Source organism: Homo sapiens, chromosome 15 (assembly GCF_000001405.40).
Source record: "Homo sapiens chromosome 15, GRCh38.p14 Primary Assembly".
Classification (NCBI taxonomy): domain Eukaryota; kingdom Metazoa; phylum Chordata; class Mammalia; order Primates; family Hominidae; genus Homo; species Homo sapiens.
In genome coordinates this window covers 56,667,836-56,681,911 of record NC_000015.10, presented here as the reverse complement: position 1 = coordinate 56,681,911, position 14,076 = coordinate 56,667,836, and the positions used below count along the sequence as shown (strand labels likewise).

At 34.3% G+C, this 14,076-nt stretch overlaps 1 protein-coding gene across 3 annotated transcripts in view; it reads left to right on the top strand.

Moving 5' to 3' along the window:
- The window catches only part of ZNF280D (zinc finger protein 280D), a 103,334-nt gene that overhangs the window by 51,598 nt on the left and 37,660 nt on the right, over positions 1 to 14,076 (top strand). For all 3 annotated transcript variants that reach the window (NM_001002843.3, NM_001288588.2, NM_017661.4), the window contains 4 exons: positions 3,091 to 3,248; positions 4,238 to 4,338; positions 5,096 to 5,242; positions 12,955 to 13,089. In NM_001002843.3, the coding sequence (NP_001002843.1) occupies positions 3,091 to 3,248; positions 4,238 to 4,338; positions 5,096 to 5,242; positions 12,955 to 13,089 (541 nt within the window). The remainder of the gene's footprint in view (positions 1 to 3,090; positions 3,249 to 4,237; positions 4,339 to 5,095; positions 5,243 to 12,954; positions 13,090 to 14,076) is intronic.

Below are 14,076 nucleotides of genomic sequence, written 5' to 3'. Positions count from 1 at the left end.
ACATTACAAGAAGAACCACTCTGTGTTTGTTCAGGTTGAGCTCCTCTATGTAATGCTCAAATTTTTCAATTTATATTTATAGTTTTTAGAACATTAATCTTGCAGGAAAAATTATCAGTTTTAGAGATGTATCAGTTCTAGGAAGCATGTCTGTTTTGATTTTAAAATTTAACAGCTTTAGAAATTTGGGGATTTAATTCCCAGTGGAATATATGAATGCTTTAAATATTAGAAATTTGTACTTCATAATCGTTCAGTTGTAATCTTTGAAACTATTCTGTATAAATTAGTAACAAGAGAAAAGTAATAAGAAATTGAGTGAAATTATTTGTTGATTATGTAGCCTGATATTTATATTAGATAAGGTTTTTTCCTATCACTTTACTATAAAAATTTTCAGATATTAAGCAGAGTTTTGAAAATTTCACATTGGACCCTTGTACACTTAACCACCTTGATTCTACCATTAACATTTTACTATACTTGCTTTATTATGTATCTCTTCATCCTTCTTAGAACTATCTGATTTTTGGTGCATTTCAAGGTAATCTGCATTGTGTTTGTGCATGTGTGTACAGCATATACATATATGTATGCCTTTTGTGTTTATTCTTGGTAACTGTCATCTGTAATTAGCATTTCAAAGCAGCTGTAGTTACTTCTGAGTTCAGCATTTATTTGTTTTCCTGTGAGTCCTTGGGTCCAAAAAGAAGCATACATAAAAATCCTGAAATACACTGTGATATACACCTATAACAGTTATTAATGGTTTCTTTATGATAGTGCTTTATAATTTTCAAAGTTTTTTCACTTATTTTATATGAATTTTCTTATTTCTTTACCTCCTCTTATCAAACTTTAAGGGCCATCAATAGCTAATGGTTGCAGTAGTTTAACAAAAGGGAAAGTGTATTTTGAGATAAAACGTTGAAACAGTGTTGCAGTAGAACTCTACCACCTATTTCTGATGTCATGCCAACATCGGGAAATCATGTTAGTAAATATGGTAAAATGCAGAGCAGTGTGGTTCATTGACTTAATGTCTTGTACTGAAATATGAGGTTATGTTATTTCAGCAGTATTTTTTTGGCCTTTCCTTTAAGATTAGCCCATTTAATAGCAAACATGAAAATGGGGCTGGGCATGGTGGTTCACGCCTGTAATCCCAGCACTTTGGGAGGCTGAGGCAGGATGATCGCTTTAGCAAAGGAGTTCCAGACCAGCCTGGAGAACACAGTGAAACCTCATCTCTACAAAAAATACAAAAGTTTGCCGGGCGTGGTGACGTGCACCTGTAGTCCCAGCTACTTGTGGGGCTGAGGTGGGAGGATCGCTTGAGTCTGGGAGATTGAGGCAGCAGTGAGCTGTAATCATGCGTCTGCACTCCAGCCTGGGCAACAGAACGAGATGGTCTCAAAATAAAAAGAAAATGAAAAATTCATTTTTTTGGTTATGTTTATGAAGACTAGCTACGTATGTTTAGGCTTTCATAATATTTACAGATTTTAAGAAAATTATATCTGATAATATCCAGGAATTGAGTATTTTTAAAAATACTGATCATTTATTAAATGTAACCTTAATGGTAAACACCTCGTGAACAAAGAAGTTAAATGTATTATATAATATTTTACTTCAACAGTAAAAACTGGGAAGGCAACTTGATATTTATAGAGAATAATAAGAAATTGATAGCTCAACATTTCATTTCTCTTCTCTGCCATGTCAATATATTGTGGTATGGAGTTTCTTTCCTACATTGAGTGTCACTAAAAATAGTTAGATTTATCTTGTTCTGTGAACATCCTTGCAAGAGGTTTTGCTGTTTCCCTCATTTCTATTGGTTTGAGAAGTATGAGTTGATGGGAACTCATATAATAATTGGGAAAAAGCGAATTGGTTAAGGGAACATTTTATGTTAATAGACTTTAAGTGCTGAAAGCTGTGAGCTGAAAGTTTAATGGCTCATGATCTTTACTCTAAACGTAAATATTTAACAACGACCAGGATTTTTTGTAAGCATTTGTAGAGCTGTTGTTAAAACCAAAGGAGGAAAAGATATTTCAAGGTGTACCATAGCCCACTCTAAAGAGAATAGTGCTGTAAATTTGTGAAAAGAGGTATATATTATAATCTTCATGATGATTGCTATCTAGATTGATGACATTATCACTTAGTTTCAAGATAATTTCTTTTAGGGATTCAAAGTGAATAATTGTTAACAGTTGACCTAGTCTAAAAATTATTGTTTTTGTTGAATAACTTTACTCTCAAATTCAGCAAAAAGCTTTAGTAAGCTCTTTTAAATGTATTACCATTTATATTGCACCCTCTGCCATTGAAGGTCATAATTCCTGCTCATAGAAGCCTATTAGGGAAGCTGAAGTAGCAGAATGTAAAACTGAAAAATGTATGTTGCCTACAAAGGGCACTGTCTGCAAGTTAAGATGAACAGTCTGTGCTAACAGTAAACCAGTATCATTAAATAAAACAAAAGGTTCTTGTAATTGTAGGCATCAAAACTGCTATTACATGCATTTAGAAACCAAGATACAAGTAAAAATACTAGTAATTTGTCATTTAAGTAGCTGGAATCTATTGTATATTTTCAAGGCCTTAAAAGATTTCCTCCTGACTCTGTAGCTGCCTTTGGTGATAGGGTTTCCTTTATTTTAGTGTTTTATTTTAAAATGTAAATAGGATTCCAAGTATGGATATAGAGTTTCCTTTCTTTTAGTATTTAATTTTAAAATGTAAATAGGATTTCAAGTATGGATCAGAAGCCTGTTCTTTTATCTAAAAAAATTTTTTAAATAATCTGAAATAATGATTAAGAGTTATATCAAATTGTTGATCTTTCAGATTAATTACATGAATGAATTATTTTAAAGCAAAGGTAAAAAGATGTTTACTTAGCCACTTAAAGAAAGTGATTATTTAAAAGTGCATACTTTCCTAGGCAACTTTAAGACTTTTGAGAGTTTGAGTAATACATCTATATTTTTAAGATTTAGGTTCAGATTCTTGTTTGTGAGATTTCCTTTTTGTTTTTAAATCTCAAGTTTTGCACCTGTTGACAACCATTTATAGGTTTATGAACCACATGAAACACCATTTGGAACTTGAGAAGCAGAGCAGTGAGAGCTGGGAAAACCATACCACCTGCCAGCACTGCTACCGTCAGTTTCCCACACCATTTCAGTTGCAGTGTCACATCGAAAGTACACATACGCCCCATGAATTTTCTAGTAAGTTACCAATACATTTAAATATTCCATATTATTGATTTCGCTAATATAAATTGTGAGAAAACCTTAAGAAGCCTGTTAGAAAAATGAGAATGAGAACTAGACTTTGGAATTTGAGGGCAAAATTGAAAGGCCAAGTTTTAACTGTGATAAACTTTTAAATAAAATTAGTTACTAATATTAAAGTGCCTCTTGCAAATAATTCAGTATGGTAATTGCCTTGACATAAACTATGCATTATATGTTGGGGACTAAATTAGGAGCCTAGTATCCTAGTTTTAAAATATTAAATCATTGCTCTTCATTTAAACTTTAATAGGAAAAAGAACTACTGTTTTAGTTAAAAATCACAGGCGGGGTGCAGTGGCTCATGCCTGTAATCCCAGTCAGCACTTTGGGAGGCCAATGTGGGCAGATCACTTGAGGCCAGGAGTTTGAGACCAGCCTGGCCAACATGGCAAAACCCCGTCTCTACTAAAAATACAAAAATTAGCCGGGCATGGTGGTGCATGCCTGTAATCCCAGCTCCTTGGGAAGCTGAGGCAGGAGAATCACTTGAACCCAGGAAACGGAGGTTGCAGTAAGCCGAGATTGCGCCATTGCACTCCAGCCTGGGTGACAGAGCAAGATACTGTCTCCAAAAAAAAAAAAAAAAAGAAAGAAAATTACAGATGTTGGAGCAAGATAGCTTGGTTTTAAATCTCAGATCTGCCTCTTAATATAGCTACAAGATTTTAGCCACGTTACTTAATACTTGAATAATGCGGATAACAGAAATACCTTTCTTATAGGGTTGTTAATAGGAGTTGAGTTAATGTAGGTGAGGTAATGTGAGTGCTTAGAACTGTTCTTTGCACATAGTTAACAAGCTGTTTAACTCTTCACAACTGTCCCTACTGCTACTGTTATTGTTGTTGATATAGATGTATAAAATTAATTTTTATATTAATATCTTAAATATTATTATACTGTTTCTCTCCCACATTTAGCTATTTGTAAAATCTGTGAATTGTCATTTGAAACAGAACATGTTCTTTTACAACATATGAAGGACAATCATAAACCTGGTGAAATGCCATATGTCTGCCAGGTACACATACATTTTATTGTTTTTTTAAGTGTTTGGTTTGTTTGTTGTTTTGGTTATAAAATTTAAGCCTATTAGACCAGCGGTCAGCAAACTTATGCATAACTTGGCATAACTTATGCATTATATGAGGGATAGGCAGCAAGCTGGGTTTGGTCCACAGGCTTTTGTTTGCTTATCTCTGTACTGGACAAAGATGAGTCCTGTTGTATGTAGAAAAACAAACATATGGACTTACTGTGCTACATAGGGAAGAATGTAGTCATACAAGGGAAATACAAAGTGCTGTTAGATACAAAGAACCCTACCAAATGCTTTGGCAAAAGTATTTTTCCAAAGAAGAAGAATTTGAAGGAAGAGGAAAGCAAGGAAAAGATAAATTGCCATTGCCATAAACCTGGAGGCCATTAACAATCTAAAGGAGAATGCTGTTTCATGTAGCAGAAAAACATTTTATAGAGCAAGAGGTGCTAAAGCTTGAAACTTCAAGTCAAGACAGAAGGTGATAGATAAAAAGATCTGATAAAGAGAAGGAGATCTAGTTTTGTTTTGGGATGTATCCCTTAACTTTGAAAGCTACGTTTAATGTCTCAAAGATGGTCTTTTGGTGTTGCCTTAGTGAGATTCTTGGTTGCAAAGGCATCAGAGCTAGATTAGTAGTACATAATGTTCTCCTGACAAATTATCCATCATTGTTCCTTTGTAATTGCATATCAGTTTTAAATTTTCAAGTTAAACTAAGCCTTCTTTCTTTTTTTAGGTTTGTAATTATAGATCATCATCATTTTCTGATGTAGAAACTCATTTTAGAACATCCCATGAAAACACTAAGAACTTGCTATGCCCGTTTTGCCTCAAAGTTATTAAAATTGCAACACCATATATGCATCATTATATGAAGCATCAGGTGAGATTTACCAGTTCTTATTTGTTTATTATGTTGTCTTAGTGAAAAAACTGATTATGACTTGGAGAATCTTTAGATTTGTTCTGCAAGAGAAGCAGAGTTGTTCCAAATGACACTATTAATTTACACTTCAAGTTGAATTGCTTGTGAAAATTCCACTTCTTTTCCTTACTTCCTTTCTGGTGATGGTGTGGGTCATAAATAATGAAAATTCTGAAAGATAGCTAGAAATAGGAAGCTGAGGATTGACAGAAAAAGAAAAAGTTGAGTGGAATATCCAAAAGATTGAATATTTCAGGGTCTAAAGGTAGATATGAGAATGATTTTGAAGGGAGTTATCAGGACAAAGGGAATAATGAGTTTGAACTGAGGAAGAAAAGACTGAGGATTTATAATCTTATTTTTCGTTTTGCTCTTCAAACTTTATTTCAACTTTCTAACCCCTTATCATTATGAGAAGACATGTTGTCATTGACCTGGAGTTGTCTTTTATAGTTGTGTGACCATGGGAATAGTAATGACACTTACTGATCAGTATATGAACTCTGGCAGAGAACTATATTTAGATCATCACTTGTTCCCTGGATGGCTTCCACCAGTTTTGCTATATAATTTTGGAACTCAATATTAGTGCTTGTACCCCTCCCTTGAATTCTGATATTATGCTTATTGGCTCTTTTCCTGAAGCAATTAAACCATCTTTTATTTGGGCTAAAAATTTTGATGCAATACTAATCCTGTTCTTGCGTGCTTGAAAGAACAACAGTGCCTTTGCCAAAATTAGAAACCAATGGATTTACCGAATCTGATCATGTAATCAAATTTTGTCAACTCACTACAAAGCTCAATACATTCTCTTATTATTGATTAAATTGACATGCCAATTTATTCAGCATTGGTGCTCACTTTGCTGTCATTTTCAGTTGTTAGTTAAGTCATGAAATTGACTTGCTGTTTTTAATTGGAGAAGATCATGAAAGTAGAATTTCCAGATCAATTTGGGATCATATGTGTTGTGACTAGGATGCCACACATCCTTGAGAGTTTCTGGCAAGATCTATTCTAAGGTTTCCCCAATTACATATAGTAAATTACATATAGTAAGAATTACCTGTAAATCTCTCAAGTCTCCCAAACAATGTAGTATACTTATAAAAAATTTAATACAGATATTTATTTATTCTTGGAATAGATCACTGTTTGTTTTGTTGAACATAGTGTTATAAAAAAAAAAAAGTATCTTCATCACCCTTAGTGCATTTCTTTATGAACAGAATTTGGGAAACACTATTCTTGATACCCCGTATTTCATCTTTGGACTTTAATTTTGAAAGGGAGAATGAGGTATAAAGCAGTAGCTCTAGTTCACGATGGGGTTTTTAAACATAATCTTTCCCAGGTGCTTTGTCAAACTATAGAGTGAGATAGAGATGTGGGAAGAATAGTAACTATGGTAGAGATTTGGGGACCTGCTATGTGCCTGTGTGATTTATAAGCAAGTTGTCATGCCCTGAGTTGTATGTTTTAACTTGCCATGGCTGCCAATTTTCTTTTTTGTTTGGAGTGCCTGGGAGGTAGATAGCCAGCAGTAAAGAGGGGGCAGTCTATTAGTAAGGATCATTGGGCATCTTTGAAGGTATTTACAATTTGTGTAATGATTTACAAGACTGGAAAACCATAGCTGAGTGGGATTATAAACTTGTAGTTGAGATAACATTATTACCAAAGTATTAGACAATCAGAATAGTTGACTCCATGCCTCATTTTATTGTCTTTGAAGAACTCAGTTGTAACTTTTTTTAAAGATTATATTATTATGTCTTTAGTGATTTTAGAGTTAATAACCCAGTTTGTGTGACTTTTAAGAAATATTGATAGAAATTCCAGATGTGTTAAATATGCTCATTAGAGCTTTAATAAAACAAGCAGTTAACATACACTAATTACTTACCTTATGGCAGCAGCTGGTACTTTACATGCATTTTCTTGTTTAATCCTCTCAACCACTAGATGTATATTATTATTTCAGTTTTATAGATGAGGAAACAGAGCTTTAGAGAAAGTAACTTGCCTAATGTCACATTGTCTAATAAAGGCAGAGTCAAAATTTGACTTAGCATCCAAGCTTTTACTGCTCTACCAGAGTTGGATTTCACATTGGCATTGGGTCTAAAGGTAGAAATTACATATAGTAAGAATTACCTGTAAATCTCTCAAGTCTCCCAAACAATATAGTATACTTATAAAAAATTTAATACAGATATTTATTTATTCTTGGAATAGATCACTGTTTCTTTTGTTGAACATAATGTTATAAAAAAAAAGTATCTTCATCACCCTTAGTGCATTGAGATGCATGCATACATAAAAGAGATGTGTAAGACTTGAGTCCAACTAAGGAACTGGTAGATTAATGTATTCTACCTTAGGACTCTGGGCAAATGTTCATTGAATGAAAAGGCAGATATTTTGAACTAAATTGTACATGCTACTCACATGCATTTTCTCTGTTAATCTCTTGCTTTCTGCCTCACTATTCATTTAAGAAATATTTACTGAGTGCCTTAGTATGTGCTAGGGGCTGCTTTAGGTATCATATAGCATTGAACAAAACCAAGTTTGTGCCCTCTGGAATTTACATTATAGTAGAGAAAGATAATATATTTGTGTATGTGTGTGTTAGAATGTATATGCTGGCAATAAGTACTGTGGGAGAAAATGTGGAAGATGAGGAGTGCTAAAGATTGGGGAGGTGGTAGGAGTACAGGAGTGGTCAAAAAAGGACGTTGTATAAAGAATGTTCAAACATGGGCCTCTCTGAAGGATATAAAGGAGTAAGCCATGTGAATTACCTCGGAGAGGTGACATTATATAGGCAGTGAGGTGAGTGTATACCTGGGATGCTCAAAGAATAGCAAGGAGGCCAGTGTGGCTGGAGCAGAGTAAATTAATAGGAGGAAGAATAATAGGAGATGAGGTTATAGCAATAGAATGCAGGCCAATTCATGTGGAGCTTTGTAAGCCACAGCCAAGACTTTGGAAAGGCACTAGACATTTTTAAGCATATAAAAAGATGTGCCATGTTTTTATTACTGGCAGCTATGGAAAGAAAAGTCCATAGAGAAGAAAGGATATTAGGGGGAGAAGATAGAAAGTTTTTATAGTAGTCCAGGTAAGTGGCTTGGGCCAGTATGGTAGCAATCGTTGAACGAGGTAATGAGAAGTGGAAAGATTATGAATGGTTTTGAAGTTAGAGCTGAGAGGTTTTACTAATGTGTTTGACAGTAGATGTAAGAGAAAGAGATTAAATTTTTTGTCTTGAGCAGTTGCAAGAATGGAGTTTTCATATACTGAGATATGGGGAAGACTGAATAAGGAACAGATTTTTTTTTGTAGGAGGGGGACAGGGATATAGGAAGGAAATCTCGAGTTCAATTTTGTTCAGGTTGATTTGAGAAGCGTATTAGACATCAAGCAGTAATGTTACGTAGGCATTTGGATAGATGGTATTTAAAAACCATGAAACTGGATGATGTAACCTACTGAGTGGTTATAGATAGAGAAAAGATTTCTGGGAACTCAACTCTGGTGAACTTTTTACCTGCTGTATTGTTTTGGTATCTATTTTTTGGTTTTTCTCTTCTTCCTTGAGCACATATAAGTGAATTTGTTTAAATTGCCTGTACCTGTGATGTAATCCAATGTATCACACTTGTAAAATAGTCTTAAGAGCCTAGGAGGTCAAGGCTGTAGTGAGCCAAGACTGCACCACAGCATTCCAGCCTGGATGACAGAGTGAGACCTTGTGTTAAGAAAAAAAAAACTTAAGATCCAGCTATTAATAGAATTGTAACACATATTTATATATTGCTTTGAATTTTATAAAGAACTTTCATTTATGAAGTGCTTGCTGTATGCCAGTAACTGTGCTAGGTACTTCCTTATATATTACTTCACTTGATTTTTATAAATAATTGGTTGTGCCAAAAACAAACAAACAAACAAACACACACAAAAAAAACCACACACACAAAACTTCAGGCCAATATCCTTGATGAACCTCGATGCAAAAATCTTCACCAAAATACTGGCAAACTGAATCCAGCAGCACATCAAAAAGTTTATTCACCATGATCAAGTAGGCTTTATCCCTAGGTTGGAAGGTTGGTTCGACATATGCAAATCAATAAATGTGACTCATCACAAACAGAACTAAAGACAAAAATCGCATGATTATCTCAATAGATGCAGAAAAGGCTTTTGATAAAAGTCAGTATCTCTTCATGTTAAAAACTCTCAATAAACTAGGTACTGAGGGAACATACCTCAAAATAATAAGAGCCATATATGACAAACCCACAGCCAGTATCATACTGAATGGGCAAAAGCTGGAAGCATTCCCCTTGAAAACCAGCACAAGACAAGGATGCCCTCTCTCACCACTCCTATTCAACATAGTACTGGAAGTTCTGGCCAGGGCAATCAGGCAAAAGAAAGAAACAATGCACATTCAAATAGGAAGAGAGGAAGTCAAACTATCTTTGTTTGCTGATGACATGATCCTATATCTAGAAACCCCATCATCTCAGCCCAAAAGCTTCTTAAGCTGATAAGCAACTTCAGCAAAGTCCCAAGGTACAAAGTCAATGTGCAAAAATCACTAGCTTTTCTATATACCAATAACAGGCAAGCCAAGAACCAAATCATGAATGAACTCCCCTTCACAATGGCCAGAAAAAGAATGAAATACCTAGGAATACAATTAACAAGGGAAGTGAATGATCTCTGCAGTGAGAACTATTAAACAGATCACTGCTCAGAGAAATCAGAGATGACACAAACAAATGGAAAAACATTCCATGCTCATGGATAGGAAGAATCAATATCATGAAAATGGCCATACTGCCCAAAGTAATTTATAGATTCAGTGCTATTCCCATTAAACTACCATGGACATTCTTCACAAAACTAGGAAAAGCCATTTTAAAATTCATATGGAACGAAAAATAGCCCGAATAGCCAAGTCAATCCTAAGCAAAAAGAACAAAGCTGGAGGAATCACACTACCTGATTTCAAACTATACTACAGGGCTATAGTAACCAAAACAGCTTGGTACTGGAACAAGAACAGATGCATAGAACAATGGAATAGTATAGAGAACCCAGAAATAAAACCGCACACCTACAACCATCTGATCTTCGACAAACCTGACAAAAACAAGCTATGGGGAAAGGATTCCCCTATTCAATAAATGGTCATTGGGAAACTGGCTGGCCATAGGCAGAAAACTGAAACTGGACCCCTTCCTTACATCATACACCAAAATTAACCCAAGATGGATTAAAGACTTAAATGTAAAACCTAAAACTATAAAAACCCTAGAAGAAACCTAGGCAATACCATTCAGGACATAGGCATAGGCAAAGGCAAAGATTTCATGATGAAGACACCAAAAGCAATTGCAACAAAAGCAAAAATTGACACATGAGATCTAATTAAAGAGCTTCTGCACAGCAAAAGAAACTGTCAACAAAGTAAGCAGACAACTTACAGAATGGGAGAAAATTTTTGCAAACTATGCATCTGACAAAGGTCTAATATCTACATCTATAAGGAATTTAAGCAGATTTACAAGAAAGAAACCAACCCCATTAGAAAGCGGGCAAAGGATATGGACACGTCTCAAAAGAAGACATACATGCGGCCAACAATGATATGAAAAAAAACTCAACATCACTGATCATTAGGGAATGCAAATCAAAACTACAGTGAGATACCATCTCACACCTGTCAGAATGGCTATTATTAAAAGATAAAAAAATAATAGATGCTAGCAAGGTTATGGAGCAAAGGAGTGCTTTTATACTGTTGGTGGGAGTGTAAATTAACCATTGTGGAAGAGAGTGTGGCAATTCCTTGAAGACCTAGAGACAGAAATAGCATTCCACCCAGCAATCCCATTGCTGGGTATATACCCAAAAGAATATAAATCGTTCTGTTAAGACATATGCACACATATGTTCTTTGTAGCACTATTCACAATAGCAAAGACATGCAATCAGCCTAGATGCCCATCAGTGGTGGACTGGATGAAAAAAATGTGGTACATATACACCATGGAATACTATGCAGCCAAAGAAAGGAATGAGATCATGTCCTTTGCAGGGACATGGATGGAGCTGGAGGCCATTATCCTTAGCAAACTAATGCAGGAACAGAAAAATACCGTGTTTTCTCATTTATAAGTGGGAGCTAAATGATGAGAACACAAGACACATAGAGGGGAACAACACATACTTAGGCCTGCCAGAGGGCAGAGGGTGGGAGGAGAGAGAGGATCAGGAAAAATAACTAATGAATGCCTGGGTGATGAAATAATCTGTACAAAAAACCTCCGGGATACACGTTTACCTGTGTATCAAACCTGCACATCCTGCACATGTTCCCTGAGCTTAAAAGTTAATAAATAAATAAATAAACAGTTGTATTTCAATGGACATAGTGATGTATCTGGCAGAGATACAGCTTTAGATAAGGCATTCCTTTATAATTATATGTTGTATAATTATGTGTGTGTGCATGTGTATATATATATATATATGTAAAACAACATATAACTACAAAAGAGTGGTTTCTCTAAAACCACTATATATATATATTATATATATATAATATATATATATAATATATATATTATATATATATAATATATATATATAATATATATATATAATATATATATAATATATATATAATATATATATATTATATATATATATAATATATATATATATAAAATATATATATATATAAAATAATGAGGGTAAAAATTGCAGTTGATAATCTGTAGTAGAAAGAACACTGGATCAGGGCCCTGGTAATGTCAGTAACTAGCTATGGGGAAGTGCCTTAGCATTTTTTTGGGTCCCATTTCCCATCTGTAGAATAATGACAGGACTGGGTTTGAGGAGGGACTCAGTCAAGGGGTTCTCAGTAAGTTCAGTTGTTCTGTTTTATGCCTCTTCATCCACATTGTCTGATGTAGTAGCTACTAGCCACATATGGCTTTTTAGATTTAAATTAATTAAAGTTAAACAGTATTAAAAATGTAGTTCCTTAGTCACAGTGGCCACATTTCAGGTGCTCAATAACCACATGTGGCTAGTGGCTACTGTGTTGGACAATACAGCTCTCAAATATTTCATTATCATAGGAGATATTATTGGACAGCATTGGTTTATGTAACCACTTCTATAAAATAACCTTCTTTGAAATGTCTGGTTAGATTTATTTGGTTTTAGAGAGTTTAATTTATTTTACCAACTTTTCAACCAACTAGAAATAGCAAAAATTAGAAATAATTTCCTTTTTCTAGGATAAAAACGTAGTACATCTCATTTTCAAAGTATGTGTTTACTTCAAGTTTATAATCGAAAGAGATTTCTCACCACAATTAATAGAAGTTTTATTAGAACCTATTGATAGAACTTTCATGTACAGTTCTTACATAGTAGCGAACACTTTTGAAACCCAAATACTAATGTAATGACTTTTAAAAAATGAGGCATTTTATATTATTATGATAGGAGATGTTAAACCGCAAGTTTTTACATTATTTAGGTATCATTAAAATTAAGTCAGCAGTTTCAGGACACAGGATTTGTAGTTTTTGAAATTATTTTTCCCCCTTTTTCTGTTTTTTTCTAAACAGAAAAAAGGAATACATCGTTGTACAAAATGCAGGCTGCAGTTTTTGACATGCAAGGAGAAAATGGATCATAAGACTCAACACCATCGAACATTTATAAAACCTAAACAACTAGAAGGATTGCCTCCTGGAACAAAAGTGAGTTAAAATATATTGTATTTTAACATTTTGTATGATAATAGAAATTAACTCCTGCCCGGCTTTATATATTGAATGTATTTTTAAATGACTTCAGATTTTTGCTCAGACTCTAATTTTAGGTTTTAATTTTATGTGTAGAAGGAAAAACTTCTAACCATTGTTTTGAGTTCAGTGATAGCTGTTAGGTTAGAGTAGTAGTCCTTTTTAAAAAGTACAACTCAATTAACTTTTCCTGGGTCAATGGGTTGTTTCAATATTTTATAGGCTATTTTTGAGCTTTCAGTTGAAAGTGTATATGTTGACTTTAGTTGCTAAACTATAAGATGCTTGAGATCAGGAATCATGTTTTATTTATCTTTGTGTCCCCAGCATCTGGTACAGTGCCTTGAGTTCCATAAGTTCTCAGATGTTTGTTGCAGTTGTTATTACTGAGTTTACTCTGAGAAGCAAGTTCTACTGCTGGATAGCATTGTGTTTTAAGTGAGCAAACACATGTCTGACTGCATACTGATGATTGTAATTTACTTTTCCCTTTTTGCCTTATGTACATCTGTTTTCTCTGACTTCTTTATATACAGTCAGCTCTTGAATATTTGCTCCAGTGGAGGGAAACAGAGGCATGGATAATCCAAAGTGAATAATCCCCAAAACATTTATTTTTGGCTTTGGGTACTTTCCTTTGAATGTGGGTATGTCTGTTATTTGAATTAACTAAAACAATATAAAGCCATGCTCTGAAGACATGATAGCAAGAGAAGCTATCCAGCATCCTTCCCTGCAATCCATTCATTCCATGTTGGGACTAGACATGCAGAACACTAATGTAAGCAGTGCAGTCCTCTCTCATTTTTTCCCTTATTAATAATAATAATATTAATGATAATGATACTAAATGTTTTTATAGCACCTTAGAATTAGACTTTCAGTGTACTTTTTCATACATTCTGTTGTCTAATTCATACCACAATCCACTGAGGTTAATAA